Raw genomic sequence first — 23,002 nt, forward strand, 5'->3', positions numbered from 1 at the left:
GAGTGAACAGCAATGGCAGTAATTAGTCTCCAAAGATGGCCCTCAATGGACCATGCCTCCTAGTTCACATTGTTATATGAGTCTAGTGTCATATTGACTCTGGACTGGCCCTCTGATTCACTATTACAATGTGGTGAAAATGACACTGTATCAGTAATTGGGCCCAAGCCTTAGAAAAGCCTGACAATTTCTACTTTCATAATTTTGGAAGCCTGCCATTTAAAAAGTTGAGATACCTTACTGGAAGTATCATGGAGAGAGACAGCAGATGAGACTATGTAGAGTGAGAAAGTGGCACAGCTATCCCAGAATCCCAGCAGAGGCCAGCCTCCCAGCTGTTCCTGCCAAGGCACTAGATTTGTGAAATTAGTCATCTCGGACATTAAAACCCAGATAAGTCCTTGGATGACTCAGCCTGAGTGGATGTCAAGTGTAGCAAAAGAACCACAGAGTTGAGCCCAGTCAATCTACAAAATTGTGACAGAAAATAAAAATGGCTGTTGTTTCAAGATACTAAGCTTTGGGATGGTTTGTTACATAGCAATAAATAACCCAATAGCAATAGTCCTCTTATATGTGTTTGCATATTATAATGTTTCAAAGTATTAAAACAAGACTGTCATGAACATGCTTGAGTCTACTTTACTGGCTTACCTCATGCATAGTGCGCTGAGAATCAGACTGAAAGAAGCTTTTGATAAAGGAATTGTAATTTCTTGTATGCATTTTCCTGAGGGTGACTCTCTCCTTGGAGAGAAATAATTTAGAGCTTTCTGTTCTTTGAAGGTGTAGTAGGTGATGCACTGTTGTTCTATAGCAGTGCTTTGTTTTCCTAAAGCAATGTTTCTTGTAGGTCCCTGAAGTAGAAATCTGTGCCTTTAGCAGTGAGTTTGTGAGAAGAGTACTAGTTGCTGACAATTCATATCATAATGCTGTGTGGGAGATACTACATTGGAGCTCACTTAAATGAATTTTTCAGGATTATTATTGTGTGTAAGTGTGTGCATGTTTTACTCAGGACACAAATAGGCTTGACCTGGTTAATTTTGGCCAACTGGGACTGGTTGGGAGGGTCCTAGACCTGCATACTTGAATGTATGAGGTCAGTGCGGAGGTTTGGGGGACACCCAGATGCAACAGTTGGAAGATCAGAATGCAAATGTTAGAAGTAATAGGAAAGCTGTCCGCTTTGGAGAAAATGACAATGGGGAAATGGTATTTTCAGGATCAAGGATACACCAATCCTCACAAGAAAGAAAAAATCAGCAGGAAGCAGGTACCAGGCTGTAACATGGGGGTTGGACTTCCAGTCTCCTGAGCGGGGTGAATATGGGTCCCAGTGCTGCTAGGACTTATTTCTTACAATAAAAATAAAATAAAGGTGGCTTAGTAAAAAGTCTTACAGTTCTGATTTCTGAGGAGGATGGTAAGTTCTAGGATGCTATGCTGATGGAGCCTGCCAGTGGAAGTCAGTGGCTTAGCTGTGCCAGGAGGAGTATTGGAGAGTTGAGGTCAGATTTGAATGGACCTGCGAAAAGTCACATATTGCGCAGGATACACATAGAAATACATTTCTAAATCCCAGGAAGGAATGTAAGAGTCTGTGAGTTCCTGAACACTTTCCCAGCCTCCAGGAAGCTAAAATGAGAAGTACATAGAAAGAGTAACAAACCTTGAAGTTGCCCAATAGCCTGGAAAGAGCATGGCCTTTGAAGTGAAACAGATCCAAGTCTTAATCCTGGCTGTCATCACTAGTTTGATGGCTGTGAGCAAGTCACTTGAGCCAGTGAGGATTCAGTTTGCCTTCCTGTAATAAAAAGCTGGCCAACAGGGTTTGACCAAAAAGGGGTTTATTTTTCTCACGTCACAAGAAATCCGTAACTCACAAGTCCAGGACTAGTGCAACTGCTTGCTGCTCCTTCAACCTCTTCCCTTCACAATGCTCAGCATGTGGCTTTTGATATCATCCCTTAGATGGCTACTCCATTTCCAGGCATCACTTCCTAAAGACAATGAAGCAAAATCACCTCTTCAGAAGGCTTTTGTCATTTTGGGGGAATATAACCATTTTCCCAGTGACTTCTACATATATCTCATTCTATTTTGCACACATGTTATTTCATTTCACATACATACACACACAAACACACCTTTGCACACACACTTGGCCATCTAAATACCAGAGATTTGGGGAAAGGTCAATATTTTTAACTGGGTGTGTTACCAGTCCAAATTCTATGCCTTTGGAAGAAGGAAGAACAGATAAGTAAATAGCAATGGATTCCACATGCATTTGTTCATCTTTTCAATGGGGACAACAAGACTCCCATGGCAGGAAAATATCAAACACTGGGCATAACCCCTCCAGAATGTACGCTCCATGAGGGAAGGAATTCTTGTCTGTTTTATGACTGTTGTGTCACCAGCACCCAGAACAGTGTCTTTAATAACTATTTGCTGAATGGATGAAATTAGAGATAATAGTAAGCGTGCAGTGCATTGGCTGGCACACAGAGGGTCCAGGAGGTGATTGTTGTTACTGTCGTCACTGAGTCTGTCTGTGGTCAGTGTCATTGTCAAATGTCACTTTCAAAAGTCAATGTCATTGCCAGAGATTGCTAAGTAATATAGAGCAACTAGCTACAGCAGAGGCAAGCTTTCTCAAGAGAGGTATTTACTAACGTGAGTTAAATGGAAAATCATGGATTGGTCTAAGACAGGGTTTTCCTCAGTGTTGTCAACCTTACATTAAAAAAAAGTTATGTACCTTTTCCTGATCCAGCCAGCAAAACTTTCACTTTCTCAGAGAACCAATGTTGCCTTAAGATGTCAGTTGTTAAAGAATCCTGACCTGGAGTTAAAGTATCTAGAAGTCAACAAGGTTCAGGAAGACATCGTGAGCTATCATCAAAATATGCAGCTGTATTTTTAAATGTTAGAACTGGACTAATATTTCAAGAGCATCTATTCCATTACTGAGACAAAAACAGTAAGAGCTGATTTGCCCAATTTATATTAGTAACTCTGGACACTCTCAGAAGGGACTCTAGCTCTTCCAAATATAGGCCAGAGCTTTTTCCTCTCCAAACATTGACCCTCTCCACAGCCCACTAGCACCCCCCAGTTTGTCCTGCTCAGCTGCTAGCCACCTCCCATGGCCAGATGTACTGAGTGGATGCCACCTTAGCTTCAGAACAGCCCCTTCTTTGAGAGCCCCACCACAATTATGACATTGTCTTCCCTGGCACTGGACACAGAGATGATCACGACAGGTTCCCATCCTCCACTCTGCTCTTTTCCTTTCTCTGTTTCTCTCTTTAGGGTCCAGCTCCCTTCATTGGTCCCTCTTCTTCATCTCTCATTCCCTCCTAAACCCAACCCTCTAAAAATGCTATTACTGCATCACCAGGGACCTCAGAATTGTCAAATCCAATGGACACATATTTTTTCTGAACTTATCTTACGCTAGTGCTTCTGAAAAAAAATTTTTACCAGAATATTCCCAATATCAAGAGAGAAATATCATAAGCCTCAGGAAGTGTGGAGTTATGATCTGAAGCTAGAGCCACAGGCGTGAAATAATTTGGAAGTCTTATTTTGTCGTAAGAATTCATGTCAGTTTTCCAGTCTACTCTTCTAGGAAACCAGAGTTTTTTTCTTCAAATTTCTTAATAAAATGGATACTCAAGGGATACACTTGTTTTAATCCCATGGCTGCATGTCCCACCTGCTGCCTGTATTTGGTTTGAATATTATAACCCTAGCCAGGGTCTCTTGGGTATCCACAGCAGCAGTTTTATCCCCTAGGCTAGGTGGAAGCTAAATGAGACTGAAGGCAAGGGAGTGTGGCTTCTTTAAGCAGCATATACTCTTTCAGTTTCTTTCTTCTCACTTCCTCTCCTTGTTTTATGCTCCCTTGGAGAACAGAATGAGGCTAGGAAAGAAAGGGAGAAAGTATTCAGATGATCTGGCATTTGGGCTGGCGAATCTACTGCCTTGTTTAGTCATGGCAGCTGGGCTCCCATCCAAGGAGGATAAGAAGACCGCGGGGAGCAACCCTTGAACTTGGGGTGAAAGCTGCCAGGAAAGCTCTTTCACTGGAGATGGCATACCATGGAGCTTTCGCTCAGCTGTGTGTGTCACTCAGGGAAATGACAGTCAGAGGCCTGTATTGTTGCACCCAGATCTCAGACCTTCTTTCCAGAGAGTGGGCCATCTCTACCCTCTGTTCATCACACCCCCTTCTCTGTATTCTAAATACTCTGCCTTGACCACAAGTTTTATTTAGAACCACAGATAACTTCCTTTTGGGATATATCTCAGGCCATAATTTATACATGAGATTTTAACTAAAATTATTTTTGTAAACATTATCTTAGTTGGTTTTTAGAATTGAACTTACTGCATAGTTTTTCTTGTTAATACAAGCAACATCCAACTTTATATCCTCCATAACTAACAGTTCATGTCATATTTTCATATAATTTTTAAATGAAATGTAAAAATGGGTAGTATAGAGGGGGCCTTAACTCATCAGGATTTCTCCCAAAATATTTTCCTGTCAAAGAGAAAACAGAACAAAACACAGTGAGTAGATTAGAATTAAGTTCAGCTGGGAGAAACAGAAACAAAAACAAAACATTACTAGCATAATAAGACAGATGTTGATTTCTCTATGTGTAAAAGTCTGAAGGGGATGTGTTCTAGAGCTGTACGGCAGCTCTGCTCCACAAGGTGCTCTGGGATGCAACCTCCTTCCAGCTCACAGCTCCACTCACCAAGAGGTGGCTGTTATCTTCATGGACAAGGTAAAGGTATTAATAGTATCCAAATCCTAGGTAGCAGATGGAGACAAGGATGAAGACAGTGTAAAGGCTGAGCCAGCTGCCTCTTCAGGAAAATTCCTGGACATTGTCATGGGACACTTTCATTTATATCCCACTGTGGGCTTTAATTACATGGCCATACCAATTGGATGGGAGGGTGGGAAATGTCATTTTGATTTGGGGCAGCCAAAACTTCCATTTCTTTAGAAGCAGATTATGACCATGGGGAGACAGCTAGCAAGCTCTGTCACCCACCCCACCAACTTAGTCAATCTTGGCAGTATTTCTCATTATTTTGTTCTTGTCCTTCCTCATGCTGATCCTTCTTTGTGGCTATGCCTTCTCAGGCTTCTCTGCAGTCTCTTTTTCTTCTATACCATCCTCAATGTTAGTGTTTGCCACCATCTGGTCCTCAGGCACTCTTTTCTTCTCACTCTGTGAACACTCTCGCATGGCCACATAAATTCATGTCTTATACTACCCAATTTTTACAAACCTACATCTTTGTCCAAGATATTATTTTCTTAAATCCTAGATTAATATATCCAATTTCCTAAAGGGCTTCACTGCTTGAATATACAATAAGCAACTCAAACTCAATACATCTGAAATTAAACTCGTCATCTTTCTCATTAAACTCTGTTATGCCATCAGTGTCTACACCCACATGGTCACTTAAACCACAATTCTGGGATATGCCTGGAATCATCTCTCACACATGTTCAATGTCCATTTTTTTCCTTTCCTCTGCATCCTCCTTGCTTTTGCTTTGCTTTAGTTATAGCTAACATCTATTGAGCATTTGCATGTGCCAGCCCCTGATGCAAATATATTACATATTTTAACTCATTTAATCTGCAAACAACCCTACTATTATTATCTGCATTTTACAGATGAGGAAATTAAGGAACAGATAAGTAACTTTCCCAACTGTCACACATCGAGTAAATGGTAAAACCAGAATTTGAACCCAGGAAGTCGACTCCAGTGCACTCTCTCTTAACTGCAATAACTTTCTGTTTTAGCCCCTCATTGTTTATTTACCTTATTATTATAGAAGACTTTCAGTTTGTTTATCTTCTTCAATCTCACCAACTCCTCCCCGAAATTCCATCTTTCATACGAATAACTACCAGAATAGCTTTTCTAAAACACAATCTGGTCAGTTACCTAAAAATCCATCGGTGCTTCACCATCACTTTCAGGTGAAAGTTTCACCTCCTTAATGTTGCACAAGGCCCTTCATGATCTGGCCCCAGCACACCTCTACAGTCCCTTCTGGAACTTCCTCACAGACATGGTCCCATCCAGCCACACTAGATCATTCCAAGTTTCTGAACAGATCTTACTCTCCACACCTATCTCCTTGCTTTTTGCACTCACTCAGAGGTCCTATGTCAAAAGTACACTGTTATGAGTGTTGCTCAAAGCTCCCCAAGGGCTGAATAGGTAACCCTCTGTACTTTATTTACTTTTCACATAGTATGGTAAACGGAAGTTCAGTCTTCTCTCTCTCCCTTGGTGTCCTGTATAATTTCCTTGAAGGAAGAGTTGGTTCTTTGTATCTACAGTACCTACCAAAGTGTTTGGTGCATGATGATCATCGAGTAATTTTCAAAAAGGGATGAACTAAGGAACACAACTGCTTCTTCCCTTTTATGGCATTTTCCTAAACAAAACCCGGGACAAGGAGATCCCTTGAAAATCACTGACTTTACCCTTGTTTACTTACCTGCAGGAGAAATTCATCTTGGAGCAGGATCACAATACTATAAAGGCCACCTGGTTTGGTGTGGCACATGTTGGGGCTGCACGTGAGAGTATGGAAATAGAAAGAGTAGCATATGTTTATTCACATCAGTAAAGGGAACAAATTGAAACATAGGAGTCATGGTATCCAGACATAATATCAATATTTTGGGAAGTTATTTTTAATGAAGATAACTAAGGGGACTTAAAAGGGTGCATTTTTTTTCTCCTTTGCATGGCGATTGCTTTTTGGGGATGCCAATGCAGAAATTCTTGGGTTGTAGAATTTTTAAAAAGAAGAGCACACTAGTTTTATTTATTTTACAGGATTCTGGTGCCTTTGTGACAGGCAACCACAAGTGAAATTACCTTCAATGGTCTTGGCTTAGTCCCTCCTCTGCTCCTAATCATCCCCTCAAACCCACATACATTAGACAGAGCGGTTGTCCTTCACCACTAAAGAAATGCAGCCGAGAGTTATGTTACCGTGGAAACAGAATCACTTTTTGCTGCAAGACACACTGCTTCATCTGCACTATTATGAAGCAGAATACATTGGTAGGGCTGGGAGGGGAATAAAATATTCTGCCTGCCAGTGTTGTACTTGGCCTTTGGGGGAATAAATGACTTTCAATTAGAGTACTTAAATATCTTTTAACTTTAATAATTATTATTAGAGCCTCAACAGAATTTTACTTGGAAAAGAGTAAAAAAAAAAAAGATTCTTCTGTTAAAGTAAGAGCTATAAATTCTTTCAAACTACACCACTCCTGTTAAAGAAAATGCAAGAGAATTTACAATTAATGGGTTCATTGTGTATAAAGATAAGTGTTTTAGCTCTTCTTTGTTTTTTGACTTTCTAATTTGATCACCTTGTGGATTTGTGAGATTGTCCTTACCTCTTTCCTTTTTTGGTCTCTGCTTTTAGCTTCTTTGTAGTAAGCACACTTATTTACAGCTTCATCTTGTGTTGGGCTGTGTGTATGCAGGTCCACTGTTGTTGACTTGCTGCTGAGCGTCCAGCTAAGTCTGTGATCTAAGCCTGTCACCAGTCCCACTTCTGGGCCCTCCCAGCCAAAGCCACTAGTTCCCATTTGCTACCTGGTTCTGCTACTGGGAGGCTCCCTTCCCTAAATTCAGTCACGGTTCTATTTTGTTTTCTTTCCTCTACTTGATAGCTCTTACTGTTTGTGTTGTTATCAGTGTTGAAGAACAAATCCATATGACCTACACTAGTTGAAGGATGAACTCTATAGGATATCAGAAACAAAACAAGAATCCTGTGTCCTTCAGCTCCAAAGATGCTCACAGTTATTGAGTTTTCTTATAGGCCCCCAGAAAGCACTACTAAAACAAACAAACAAAAATCTTAAAACACACACACACATGCACACAAACACACACACACTCACATGTGTGCACATTATCTCACATTACCTCAGAGTCTAACTATAAGCATATAATCACAGGAAAATCCCACATCATGAAAAGGAAAAATATTTTATTGGCTGTAAATAAATTAGAAAAGAATGTGATACTTTAAAAGTGTTAGTGTTTTAATTCTAGAGGTAGCAAAGCAACCTTAAGAGACAAATGACAATTCTTGAGCAACTAGTCAGTGGCGGGCACTTTTTATATCTATCACCCCATTTCATTCTCAAATGAATCTCAATGGCTACTATTATTTTTATTTTGCAAATAAAATGAAGGCACTAAGACTCAAATAATTTATTTTAAAAAAAATCATTCTCCGATTGTATAATTCATCCATGTAACCAAAAACGACTAGTACCCTAAAAGCTACTAAAATTTTAAAAAGTCATTCTCAAATTCCCCACACAAACCCTAAATTGTTTCTGATTTCAAGTTTAGTGTTCTTTCCAAGTGCATCACCTCATACAGTGCTCAGCAAAGCTCTGAATTGGGTGGCTGGGGAGGGGTATGTGCTAAAATCCAGGGAAAAAATAAGAATACAGCCTCTAATTCTGCCTTTCCACCTCTAGACAGGACTTCGGGAAAATCATTTATTTGTTTCAAATTCAGATTTATTCATCCTGAATTAATATGGATAAATAACCTTTTATCTCTTCATGCAAGTAGGAAGTTAATGTGTGAAAAACATGTTGAAAATACTAAGGGCACTTTTATTTCTGTGGAAAGAATGACTTACTCCTGTTAACTATAATAGGTCCAGATTAATAGGTCCAGATCACTGTCAATCTATTCAGCCATCCCAATTAATTCAGCCACCAAATCATTATTAGTCTCAAATCTGCAATGTTTTGAGAGCTGACCCTGTCACATATTGCTTGGATATCTGCCAAATAATTTCTATAGTGTTGGGTTGAGTAGTGGATGCATAATACTTATCTTTAAGTAATGAAGTGTGGATCAAATCAAACTATCGTCCAATATCTAATTTAGTCACCAGTTATAGACCCTATTTCATCATAATACCAAAAAGGATTCATTAAATGCCTGGATACAATTAGTCTAAGTTGCTTTACGAAGATACAGTCATAACCTTTGTTCATGGTATTAAACTGATTTTTAAAATAATGATCTATTTTATTATCACATAGAAGGAAATATTTTATTTCTCTAAACTCCATTGCTTGCCTTTCAGAGAGCCTCAGGAAATATTAGTGGAGTAAATATTGAAAAATACTTACCCAGCACTTGAAATTTCACCTTCTGTGTCTCTTATAAATTAACAAAAAATTGCTTCATTTTGAGTATTTCATATGTATTTACTATACTATGAACTTTACAAATACCACCTCTTTTACTTTTTACAATGACTCTCTAAAATTGAATCTATTGGTGTCATCAGGTTTAAAGAGTAAAAATAACTTGCTCAAGTCAAAGTGCCAGTCTGTAGCACAGCCTGACTCAAATCCGTGCACACCAACTCTAAACTGCAACTCTTTTTTTTTTTTTTTTGAGATAGAGTCTTGCTCTGTCACCCAGGCTGGAGTGCAGTGGTGCAATCTCAGCTCGCTGCAACCTCTGCCTCCCGGGTTCAAGCGATTCTCCTGCCTCAGCCTCCCGAGTAGCTGGGGCTACAGGTCGCCTGACACCAAGCTGATTTTTGTATTTTTAGTAGAGACGGGGTTTCACCATATTGGCCAGGCTGGTCTCAAACTCCTGACCTCGTGATCCACCCACCTCAGCCTCCCAAAGTGCTGGGATTATAGGCGTGAGCCACTGCACCTGGCCACACTGCAACTCTTAACCGCAATTCTGCACATCAACCTTGTGTGTAAAGTTGCCTTTGAGAAAACCAGCTTTCTTTTGCTGCCCATCTCTGATAACTTGTTCATCCTTTGTTTTATAAAAGAAAAAAAAGAAAAGACAGAAAAAGAGAAGGAGCAAAGAAGGAAAGCAGGGAGAGAAGGAAAAAGGAAAGAAAAGGAAAAAAAAATCACTCAATGTTTTCCACCCTCCCTGAATAACCTGGGGATAAAGTAGATCCCATCCAAGTTTTTGACACGAGTCGACATTGTTGAAAATAATCATGTGAAGTGCCAGCTTTGTCTGATGATGTCATTTTGCCTTTGTTTTGCATTTATCAGGAGAAGTATTCTTGCAGATTAAAGGGCCACTGGAAGATATTTATAAAATCTACTGCTATCACCATGATGAAGCACATAGTATACTGGAGTCCTATGAAAAGGAAGAAGAGCTGAAGGAACATTTGAGCCACTGTATCCAGTCCTTAAAGTAAGGCCTTTTCAAATGATGATTCCCATCTCCTCTCAGTTGCCTAGCAGGGAACATTTTAAATGGATGTAGATGAAAGGTCTCACATAAATCCTATGTTTTATGAGACTTGCTGGGAGCTCTGCTTTGCATTCCCTTTATAAAAAGCTGACATGCCAGAAGCCCTGATTGACTTTTTTTCCCCCTGCGAGAATGACTAAAAATAACATGGAAGAAGATTTAGAGCTCTGCAGCGATTGAAAAATGCAATATCAAAATATAAAATGTGGAAGAAAAGCCTCTTCTTAAAGCTATTGTAACTTGCCTGGCCCCACGTAGTTCAAGGATTATGTGAGATAACACGTGGCCCCATGACCACTGGAGCACATGGGTTAATGGAGTTAGGGGAATGGCCTACAACTCTGCATGGCCGTCTTCTTTCCCCAAACTCACTGTGGGGAGATGGGTGAAGACAAGTCAGGCCTTGTTAAAGTTAGTTTCAGAACAATTACTCATGCCTTCCTTTCTCATCCCTAAAACATTGGTGGGGGAGCTACACAATGTACTTTTTCTTTTCTAGAGGAAGTATCTATTCACTGTGAAAATCTGAAAAATATAACAAAGTATGTGTAAGATAAAAACCCCTTGCTATTTCACTATTAGCCCCTTTCTTCTTAATAATCATTTTCTTCTGATATTATTTATATGTATAAATGTGGGTATGTGTTTGGATTGATTCTTTTAAATGGAATTGGTATCTTTCTGAATATGCAGTTTCCTATCACATGAAGCTTAAAGCCAAAATCACTACCATACTCCACATCTTACCCAGTGGCTCTCTTACAGACTCTCACTTGTAAGTAGTATCCACTGTCAAATAATTTTGATTAGACCAGGAATTAAACAACCACAGAGAGCTGTGGTGTATAAGTCAATGTACACCCGTCTGATCCTGTAGCACACCTCCCCCGTTTACTCTGTGTGATAGGGGAAAGAGGGATCCCCAACGGGGATGGGGATGGGGATCCTAACGTGGTACAAGAGGTTTTTAGCTGCACTAAATTGAAATCATGATACTACTCTGGAGGAGGCGTTTCCCGGCTAGAATTGGGTCTGAAAGTGAGTTTAAAATGAGCCCAGTGAATTTTTTTTTTAAATAAATAAAATTTCAACTTTATTGCCGTCTACTGGTCATTAAATTACTGCAGTTTTAAACCATTCTTCATGCTATGGAAAAGAATTCAAGTCACCAAATCTTAAGCATTTATTTAGTGTTTGTGCTGTGTCAAGCGTAGTTCTGGGGGCTAAGTATACAAAAGTAAATAAGACTTAGATTCTGCCCTAAGGAACTCAATATGATCAGTTAAGTCTTAAATATAAGATGTAATGAGCAAGTAGCTCTAGTTAATTATTTCTATTTTCAGTTTAGGTTCAGTGTTAGTATATCAATTCAGAGAAACATTCAAATTTGAAGTTGTGTTCATTTTAATAAATTCATATATTAGAAGCACAGTCCTCTAAATGTTCAGCTGTTTTATTCTTTGGGAAAAAAAAGGAAATGGTGTTATCCTGGGTTTGAATGAACACCTTTCCTACCTTAAACAAGTGGCAAGATCTGATCCAATAAAAGCTGGAGCCATTTTCCTTCTTCGGGTTCTAGAACTAAGCGTGAGAAATGTCACAGAAAGTGAACATTTAGCACCTTTGATCAAACCCCACCCAATGCCAGCCCTGGGGATGGAGGTCCTTGCCTGAAAAGAATGTGGTGCCTCTACTTTAGGCATGCGCTTCTAACTGTTCACCAGAAGTGGAGCAGTCTGTTCAGAGAGGAAAGAACATCAGTTTACTATTCATTAAACTTTTAACTTTTAAGAGAAAGAAACAGACCCTGCCAGAAGATTCCACTAGGCAGTATAGCCCAGTATCATATCCCCACAAAGCAGCTAAAGGCAGAGGTGATTTTAGAACCTCATGAAGTCTCAGTTACTGAAAATTATTTTCAGACCCAATGGCTTATTTGGTCTTTTTCTGCAAGTTTCAGGTAATTCCCCTGGCCATGCCCCAAATTTTGAGTTTAGAGCTATTCTGATTTTAGGTAACAGTTGCAGGCACTGGAAGGTGTTAAGGTTTAGAAAGCAAAAAAGCCAAAAGAAGCAGTATTGGCACAACTATTTCTTAAGGGAAAGAAAATCAAATAAAATAGCTGAAGTTAGAGCTATTTTCCCAAAAGTTGCCTTTCCATGAAAATAAAGTTAATGATGGATTGTACTGGTCTGCCTGAAGGCTGAGGGCAGTAGAATTATTGACATTACTATAATACTGACCTCAATCGAGCTAACCTTTAAATTCTGAGAAACAGGTTTTCAAACAGGTTTATAGGCCAAAGAGAGTCTGGAACACCCTAAGGGCTTGGTTTTCCTGGCCAAGTAATCAGTCAAAGCTATTACTGTCACTCTGCCTTTTCCTTGTGGCTAGATAACACAGCCCAAGTGCAGTTGCCAATTTCTAATGAATACTAGGTGTGGCCTCCATTTTATCCTGTGCAAGGGGATATTGGAAATCTTTGTTCGAAGCAATATCCACGAGAGAGGTGGCTTCATGCCTCAGAAGTTAAGGTGGATTTTAAAGCAATTTAGGCTGCTTTTTAACCAAAATTACAGTATGTTTATTGAGGGCCTAATAAATATTTAATAAGAGTGCTAAATAATGTTGAAAATATTTTTTAAAAATATATAAGCATAGTTCTTGCCTCTCAGGAACACAAACCCTAGTTGAGGAGATAAACAAAACCATGTGGAAAGTTTAATAACAATACAAGAATTAATTTAAATAACACCAGAAGCTTTCACAGTGGCTGCAGTTCAAGACTAATTCCCAAAAGAGTAGTAGAGATATTACCTGGTTCTGTAAAAGACCCAAGTTTCTAACTTTCAATTATTCTTTGAAGCCAATTATCTTTCAAAAGAGAGAATAATGTTGAATCCTTTCATAACGTGAGGGCAGTGTTTTTCTGTGTGGAGTTCCCTTGCGCCAGATCCACCAGGATGGTGTATTAAAAGTACAGATTCCTATGCTCTGCCTCAGACCAAAAAAAAATACTATTTCTGGTGGTCCAGTTCAGGGTCTGCTCTTTTAACAAGCCACCTCAGGTGATTTTCCATACACACTCAAGTTAAGAACTAAATTAGTGGGAGAAATCATACTTGCTGCTTTCCCTGAAGCAGGTGGGTTTTTTCATCAATATAGATACAATCTAAGCAGTAACTACAGAGTTTGGAGACCTTCAAAAAGAAAAGATTCTAAGGCTCTCCAAAAGCAAATACACATCTGCATCTATAGCCTACAAATTGGAAATTAGCAAGTTTTTATTTATTCAACAAAAAGTTTTGACAGTCAAATTAGTGACCCCTAAGATTGTGTGAAATACTGTATTAAAATAGTCTCCAAAGTTATGGAAGTTATTTGCTAAAGATCTTATTACTTAGCCTTCTTGGGGTTATTTAAGGTTTCTGATCTGTATGAGGAATGTGAAAGATAGCGTGGCTATAAATGCAAATGTAGCTATAATTAGAATAGCCTGTCTGTTGCCTCCTTTTTCTGCTTTTCCATTTATAAATACCACTAAAGTCCCTGCTGCATTTCAGAGGCCCCAGAGATCTGTTTATTTTGTAATAGAAAGAGAATGAAGGGGATTTTCTAAGTTTTTGATGGATGGAAGACACATTTCTAGCTTCATGTCTAGTTGTTATAAATGTATCTGTATTTTTCTTCTTGCTAATCAAGGCCATCATCCCCAGGAGGAAAACTTCTAACTTCTAGTCATCTGGGCACTTTGGCTGCTCACATTACTCCTGGAGCTTCTCCATTCAGGGAGGAAGCTAAAAGCTCATGCAATGCAAAATCCAAAGGAATACATTTCAATTTGTTCACCACATTTTATACTCATTATTCTAATGGAGTGTTCCAAGTAAAAATTAAAATCACTTTTGGAAAGCCCTTCAGTTCCTTGTTATATGGCATCATGTTTGAACAAAGACTATAATCCTTAAGGAATAGTCACATAAAAACTTGTTAATTGTGAGTCAAAGTATAATGTGTTCATGAGGGTAGGAGGTATAGTGATAAATATATTAAATTACTTTATCCCATAAAAGGGTAAATGGACACATTTTAAATTCTTCCTTCCTGAATTGCCCTTGGTTGGGATTAGCTTCTGCAAAGTTTCAGCCTAAAAGAGATTTTTTTAAAAATGATGAACAAATAAAAAGATGTTATAATATAGTGCCACTACTCCACAGATTGTTGTTTTATCCTACTGGAAAATCTCTCAGATTCCCTTTCATAAAGCGTTATACTACATAAACACAATGTTTAATTTATGTTATGATATTTAGGTTTTACTTGGCTAAAATAAATGAAATAGAAAAAAAAACCCCATGTTTTCTGTAGGAGTTAAAAGAATAACCTTCTCTTTCAACTTCAATGTATGTGTTTTGATTCCTAAATGATCACATTATTCACTTATTGGTTTGCATGAAAAATTGCATTTTTATTTTTATTCATTTTCTTCCCCAGATTTTCTGACCTATGACGCACAAAGCATATCTGGCAAATAAAATTTCCCTTTAGAAGAGGAAAGAAGGAAGCATGTGAGCTTAAAGGAAATGATTGGAAGGAAATATTGGGCAGGAGGTGGTGGTGGTATTTCTTTCATTGCAATAGGAGAGTTCTTTAAACAGTCGTGAATAATTGCCTAAAATTATAGCAGCTGCTGATTTTAAAAAAATTATAATTCTGTGCTTGATTCCCATCTAATAGGTCTTAGACTAAGCAAAACCTAGTTATGTTAGGATGTCTAGCAATTCACTCATATAGCATGTCTGGAGATTGAGGAAACAATTGCTTCACACATGTCCCCCACCATTTTCCACATATACAAAGTACTGAGATTAATGGAAAAAAACTTATTAAATCCATTAAATTTTACAAAATGCAGCTTAGGCACTTATTAAATTTTTCCTCAATCACTGAATGTAAAAAGACCATCTATTATTATGGAATGGATCTTAAAATTTTTTTATATTGAAAACATTTATTGTACTCCAAATGGTTGGAAACCAAAGCCCACAGTGATCAGATAATAAACACAGGATATTATTTTATTTATCCATAGCCACTTGAGGCTTTTAGATAAAAACTTTCATCTTCTTTATTTGTTAGGGACATGATTATAAAATAATGAGACTACTTCTATAAGGCATTCATGAAAATTACTTATTTTATTTTACATAAGAAAATTTAAAAGGATTTATAATGTTTGTATATTACCTTAAATATACAGATTTACATGAATTTACTTTCTTTTTCTTCTCTTACAGGAAAATATACATGCAAGAGTAAGTACTTTTTAAAATAATATAAATCAAATATAAAAATCACGAGAAAATGCAGCTGACTGTTCCTGTCCAAATCAGAAATTCTGATTTTTCTAATCATGAGTATTGCTTTTAATAATCCAGGATTGCAAAGGCATTTACCCCATTACTGGTGCATATTTTACTTATTAAATTATTATCACATATACTTTACCAAACCTTTTAGAAGAATCCCAACATATAATTTACTAAGTTTGCTGATGCCAGAAAGTCTTTGGGAACTGCTCATCATACATATGTTTGGGAATCTTAATGTGTCCAAAAACACTTCTTTCTATGAAACATATTAGTCTTTAAAAAATCTCAGATTAATATCATAATGCATTTGAAGTTTCTATAGATTAATGCATAAGAAAAGATTATTTTATGAAAATATTAGATTTCTTCTAATTTCAAGTCTTGTATGATTTATGGAGAAAAAAATCATACACATTATAGCATGAAAATGAAATATTAAGGTGAAATAGTTGGTTACTAGGACAATATAGAAATTATTTTAGAAAAACAGCGTATACAAACACTCTGAAAGAGGTCCATTATTCTAGAAGAAAATGTATCCAGGCTGATTAATGCTGAAAGGATGAAATTGACTTCAATACAAACTCCAATTTATTTACCAGGCACATGTTTGGCTTATGATGAGCAACTCTTTAAGGTCCCAAGCTTCTAGTGTGTGTTTGCTTGTGTGTGTGTATGTACTTTAAATTCCTAAGAGTTTATATGAAGAAATAAAGAGCTTACAAAATATAAATTATATTAATGTAAGCAGCAAATATCTGTCATTCATATTTTGGTGCAGAGCAACAGTGAGAACGGAATTCTGGAACTGAAGTGAAGGAGTCAGGCATCATACAGATCTGTAGACCAGGGCTGTATATCTCAGTCAAGTTGAGAAGCTGATTTTTGAGACACCAGACAGGCAACCAGTTCTCTCACTTTATCAGTCTTTTCTTTTCTTTTCCTTTCTTTTTTCAAAAGGAAAAACTATCCGACAGTATAAACAGATATGAGTAGATTTGTCTTATGAGTTTCCAATTCTAGGCTCATTTGAATTCAAAGAGGTGCATCGGCCTCCTGGCTTCTCTTCAAAGATAGTTGATGGGGGCTGGGAAATGGCTCTGCCTCATTATACAGCCTGTGTCCCTGGCATTGTGCCAAGGACTGGAGCTTTGCATAACTGAGTGGTTAGAGAGGAACTTCATGTGCTACAAATTCTGCTTAGGTTTCCTTTTCTAAAGCTTGCATTAGGTCTTTGGAACCAAGAAACAAGAAGAGAGGAGAGAGAGATTCAGAGGAGAAAAAGGGAGATATTCTTCTTAGTACAATTTGCATGCACGGACTTCTACATACAGAATACTTAAACAGTTCATTGTATTGAAACACGCTTAAAAATGGCCCTAGCACTTGCTGCAATCCTGCTGTGTAGGAGTTAGCCAGGTTGTGTCTGCTCCCTCTAGACTATTCTATACATCAAGAACTAAAAAAGAAGAGCAATCCCAGCATGTGGCTGGATGCACATCAAAGCCAAGTCTGCCATGAATTATTTTCCTTCCTGTTCCTTTCATTCAGGTCATGAAGCACACATACTGCTACAGGAAAGGGCAAAAGGCAATGTCAAGTGCTGTGTAATTGTTGGGTTCTTTAGTGGCAAAGGCCAGCAATGTTGCAGCCAAAAGGGCATTTAAGAGTACAAGATGTGGGTTTTTACATGGCATTCAATAATCCCTCACTTATGGCAATCAAAAATTATCCGTTTTTTAGGTTTTTTTTACAACCTACCTTCTTAAAAATACAAAGTGAAAGATATTTGTAATTTCTAAAATGTTTACTTTGAATTATAACCTCACGCAAACATCAGACAGTATTAAAGTGACAGCAATCATAGAACTTCCCACTAAAAGCAAGAAAAAAATGCCTATTCTAAACACAGCTATCTTCAGAAATGCAGTGTTTTGTTATCTTTATGCTTTCACTCTTTTTTTTATGTGTTCCCTGTCAGATTAGCTATTCTCACCTTGGATTTCAAGGTTCCTATTAATCACAAAATATTATAAATTATTTTCTCTTTTCTTTGTATTTTAAAAATTATTGAAGAAACATTGCAAAAAAAGGAAAATAAAAATGAGGACAGTAAAGACAATCAGCAGTCACATTCCAAAGCTAACTATTGTAGCATTGCAGTGAGTCCCTCACTTCACCATACTTTTTTCTTCACACACATACATTGACTAAAATAGGAACACTATACGTTTCTTGTATGTCGACTTGCTACCTCATTCATCATCAATATGTTGTGAATATCTTTCCATGTCAGTAAATATAAATCCACATTGTTTTATACTTGCATAATATTCTGTCTGATATATATGCCATAATTTAGTTTGCCAAACCCTTACTGACAGTTGAATTTTGTCTGTCTTATTGATGTCATAAGTTTATTTTTATATATGATCTTGGTACAATAATTTGATTTTTTGGATCAATTTCTGAAAGTGAAATTGCTAGATCAAAGGGCTTTTGATACTTATTGTCAGAACATTTCAAAAAAAGCTGAGCTAATTTATATTCTCACTACTCTTATGTCAATTGTTCATTTATCCACTACTTGCCAACACTAGATACAAATAATATTGATATCTTTATAACTTGTAATGTATAGGCCCAAATAGTATCCTGTTATTTTAATTTGCATTTTTCCTATGTATTTAACTATTTGTATTTCATTTCTAACGAATGATGTTTTTAAATGATTATTCACTTTTACTGAGATGTTCATTTTTTCTAATACGTTTGTAATGTCTCTTTAATTAGTGCATATTAACCTTTGTCTTATGTATTATATATAATTTTTCCAGTTTATCATCTGACTTTTAACACAGTTTATGGCTGTTTCAGGCTGTTTTTAATCTATAAAATTTTACGGAGCTAAATTTTTAAATAGACATCATTTTTTTCTACTGTGCCTTTCAGATTTTGTGTCTGCCTTAGAAATTCCAACATTAGTTTATAAAGGATGATCCTATGATTTCTTCAAATTCTTATATGGTTTAATTTTTAGATTTAATATTTGACCTATCTCGAAATTATTTTAGTGTAAAGAATGAGGCCAAAATCCATTTTTATTGTTTTATTTATGGCTAGTTAATTCTCATAACATCTGATATTGAATAATTCACTTTTTCCCACTGAATAGGATTGTCAAATTTACCATGTACTCTATTTCTATACATATTTGTATCTATTTCTTGATTTTCTATTTTGTGCTACTCATTTGTCCATAAATGTATCAATACCAAACTGCTTTTATTTTTGTAGCTTTATAATATATTTTAATATTGAGTATCATTAGTCTCAGCTCAGTACTTTTCTTTTACAATTTTTTGAGTATTCTTGCATATTCCCTTTTTATAAAGAACTTTTTATTAAAAATGATATATAGCCCTGTTTCAATAGCCAAATCGTTCTGCAAGATTTGTCAAGAAAAATAGTAATCCCCTCTTCTCCTGCCAGCCCCTAAATTCTCATTAGAATACATTACTTTCACATCTTTAGCTGTCTATTTTGGTATTTATCTTTATTACTCTAAAAACATGCTTGGTTGTTTCCTTTTTAGATACTATCTTTAACTTTCTCCTGTAGAAGACAAGAATTTATTTCTCTTTCCTATCCCTATCTCCTCTACACACAACAAACACACACACAAACGCCTTTTCCATTTCTCCATTCCCCCTAAGTTGTTACGCTGTAATTTTGTTAGAGCAATAATCAATGTCTGATTATTATATCTAAGTAAACTTCTTTTCAGAGCTAAACCTTAAAGTGATTACTTATTTTTCTATGAATTAACAATTGTTGATTATCGTTTTCATTGTGCCCTCCTCCTCCACTTCATCTACTTTCTCTGCTGCTTCTTGTTCTTCATTTACTTAGTTTTCTTTGTATTAACAATTAATGCCAAACTCACAGCCAGTTAACTAAGTCATCTTTCAAGACAACCAGATGCATTATGTATGCTATCAATTTCATCTCCCCAAAAGAGCCCCTTCCAGAGTCTCCAGTCCAGTTGGACTGGTGACACCAGGTGCAGCCATCTTGTAGGAATTCCCCTCCCATCATCCTGGAGATTCTCTTTGCTTCTTTCCTGTGTTGGTTCTAACTCATTTTGGTGGAGTACATCCTTCAGTAGTTTCTTCTATTCCTCACAGAATGCATGGGAAGTAAAATGTTAAGAACTTTGTATCTGAAATACTTTTCTTTTACTCTCACGCTTGGTTTATAGTTTGATTTGCTATCGAATTCTAAATTGGAAACCATTCACCTTCAGAATTTAGAGGTAATTCTTTATCATTTTCTAGCTTTCAGAGTTGCTATTAGAAATCTGAAACATTCTGATTCCTAATTATGCATTTATACCTATGTGCTTATTTCTTTTTCTGAAGGATTATAGAGTCTTCTTTTTGTCCTTAGCACTCTGAAGTTCATGAATTCCAAGGTGTGACTCCATTTCTTCCATTGTGCTGGACACTTAGTGAGTTCTTTTAACCTGCAAATTCCTGTCTTTTTCTTGAATTATTTCGCTCACTATTTACTCCTCATATTTGCTTTGTTTTACCTTTCTGTGATTCTTATTAGTAGATGATGAAGTTCCTAGACCAGTCATCTAATTTTCTCATTTTTTTTTCTATTTTCTATTCTTTTGTGTGTTTGTTCTTCTCTTTGGAAAGTTTCAAGACATTATCTCCAACACTTGTAAGAATTAGACACTTTCTTAAACAGATTTTCAATGGACCCTCCTTATTTTGGTATCCAGCCCCTCATTCCCTATTTCCATGGGTAACCAGTGACTGTAATTGATTAACATTTGCAAAATGATTAAACATTGCCTCACCATTTCACTGGTTCTATCTGGTCTGTTACATCGGTTACTATTCATTTATCTCCCTTATGTATTCTAATTTAATAATTATTATGATGTATTTATTTTCACTATTATCTTTTATTTATGACAAATGCTGTTTATTTGTGTAACAATATACAGTTTCCTTTAAAATTGACTTAGGTATTTTAAAAGGAGAGTAAATTGAAAAAAGTAACAGCATAAATGCTTGTGGCTACTGTAAAATAAATATTAAATTTAGGATGCTTGTGATCATGAAATAAAGGAAATTCAAAGTAATATAGTTAATAGTTACATAATTATTCTTTTTTTTATGTATTTTTTCCTTCCCATTAAGAAATATAGATGCGCTGCATGTTGAATATCTAATTTTTTTTTGTTTTCCAGCATAATGTTTATATTATTTAAAAATCATTTTAATTTTCATTGTACTTTTTTCTTGTATTTGATATGAAACTCTGCAGCAAAACTGGATGCTGCTAAAACAAAGCCAGCTGTGTTTACTTGACTTTGTAAAGACCCAAAAATAATTTGTAATGAGATTAGTGTAGCTACTTTTGGCACTAAATACTTGCCAAAGTATTTATGATAAGACAGAGGAAGATGAAATAGAATTACAAATTAATAAGTAGTTTAGTTTTTGGCCCAATATATATGAGCAATTGTTACACGTTTGTTTACTTACTGTGGGGAGTCATGGGATAATTGACTTCCTGGCTGAGATGGGTTATATCACACATAGGACTCATCTGCCTCGCATGGTTACCAGAACTGAATCTTACTGTGGGAGATTAGATGGGGTGAATTTTGTGGCACTGAAAGCATGGAGTATTATTATCTTATAACACTCCCTCTATCTTTTCTACGATATTGCTTGTCTGTGCGATGCAGTTTTCTGAATATCATTGCTCATCACTTGGGCAACTCTCTCAAGTATATCTCCAGACACAAAAGTGTCTGGGAGATTTCTCATTTTTGAGAACGCCTTTTTTAGGATTTGTATTTATGACTTTTTTAGGAGAAACAACAATCATGTATAAATACTATTATTGTCATTTGAAATATAAAAGGGAGAGATAGAACTTTAATCCCAAAGAGTGATGAATAAAAAGTAATGATACAATCTAGACACAACAGAGCCTAAGTTGGTTTTTTGATAGATCTGGATAAGAAAGAAATGAGAGCAGTTCTTAACATTTAAAGTTAAAGTTCTTAACATTTTACTTCCCATTCATTCTGTGAGGAATAGAAGAAACTACTGAAGGATGTACTCTATCAAAATGAGGAAGAACCAACACAGGAAAGAGGCAAAGAGAATCTCCAGGATGATGGGAGGGGAATTCCTACAAGACGGCTGCACATCTGGGTTTTTGTTTTTTATAATTAAAAATAAGAGCATATATATAACAAAAGACCACACTAATAAACTATTTTATTAAAGTTGAATTTATATTGATTTAAATGTTTGATTATATTTTGATAGTCTTTTAGTGATTTTCAAAGATTAAATAAGTTAGCATTTGATAATAAAAATTCAAAAGAAATTCTGATTATATTCATGTAGATAATATGATTTCCTCTAATCAAGTTAATACCTTTCATATCCTTGACTTGTTTCTTATTTAAGGGAATTATTTCTACTTTCTACTTAAGTGACTAAACTGTTGTATTATTGAAGAACCTCTGCTTACAATATATAAGAAAATGTCCTTCATATTTAAAGGTTTTGCTACTGATACACCATCAGTTAGAAAATATCTTTTGGGTTTTTTGTTAGTTTTTTTTTTTCAGTATAAATACTGAAAACAGTTTTCAGTATTTATAATAGATTTATTTTTAAAATCTACTTCACTCAGTCGTCTTGGAAACCAATAATCCATCTCTCCTTCCCTCCCTCTTTCCGAGTCTCTCTTTTTCCCTCTTTCTGCCTCCTTCCCCCTCTGTCACTTTCTCTCCTTACCTTCCTCTTTTTCTTCCTTAATAGATTTGGTGCAAATAGGTATGAAGTAGAAGATACAGCCTATTAAAGCAACTCTTTACTCCCTTGCAGACCTTTAATACTTATTCTGGTTTTCTTTTTAAAAAAATGTTGCCTTTGGGTTTGCTTTAGTCTTTGTCTCTCTTATGCTATCATCATTTTCTCTGCATGTGAACAAAATTCCTCAGCCATTTATTCACGTTTTTGGAAAAAACGTTCGGTATAAGATAAAAGTACATTACAGAAAATCTGAGAACTCTATCATTTCTCAGTCCACAAATATGCATTGAGAGAATACTGTATGCCATGCAGGAGGTAGAGTGGAGACAGGGAAACTGATCATAAACTGGCAAATAGGGAAACAAGATGATTCCAGATAGTGATAAGTGGAGAGATGTGATAGTGACTAGTGTAT

At 36.4% G+C, this 23,002-nt stretch overlaps 1 protein-coding gene across 10 annotated transcripts in view, besides 2 other annotated features; it reads left to right on the forward strand.

The window, feature by feature from the left end:
• Window positions 1–23,002, forward strand: part of ARHGEF38 (Rho guanine nucleotide exchange factor 38) — a 129,947-nt gene that overhangs the window by 68,128 nt on the left and 38,817 nt on the right. For 8 of the 10 annotated variants that reach the window (XR_938749.4, XR_007057934.1, XR_938750.4 and 5 more), the window contains 2 exons: window positions 10,151–10,298; window positions 15,656–15,673. Coding sequence is in view for 5 of the 10 variants with exons in the window: in NM_001242729.2 (NP_001229658.1) it covers window positions 10,151–10,298; window positions 15,656–15,673 (166 nt within the window). In the remaining 5 variants the exon portion in view is untranslated. Of the gene's footprint in view, window positions 1–10,150; window positions 10,934–14,852; window positions 14,927–15,655; window positions 15,674–23,002 lie in introns of those variants that run through there. The other 2 variants (XM_006714244.4, NM_017700.2) reach the window with 2 other exon arrangements.
• Window positions 3,818–4,007: an enhancer, noted in NCBI's record as "active region_21782". NCBI's record gives its function as "activates an Ori minimal core promoter by ATAC-STARR-seq in GM12878 lymphoblastoid cells {active_cell/tissue: GM12878}" and the evidence as "EXISTENCE:reporter gene assay evidence [ECO:0000049][PMID:35858748]".
• Window positions 12,265–12,334: an enhancer, noted in NCBI's record as "active region_21783". NCBI's record gives its function as "activates an Ori minimal core promoter by ATAC-STARR-seq in GM12878 lymphoblastoid cells {active_cell/tissue: GM12878}" and the evidence as "EXISTENCE:reporter gene assay evidence [ECO:0000049][PMID:35858748]".

This window comes from Homo sapiens, chromosome 4 (assembly GCF_000001405.40).
Source record: "Homo sapiens chromosome 4, GRCh38.p14 Primary Assembly".
NCBI lineage: Eukaryota > Metazoa > Chordata > Mammalia > Primates > Hominidae > Homo > Homo sapiens.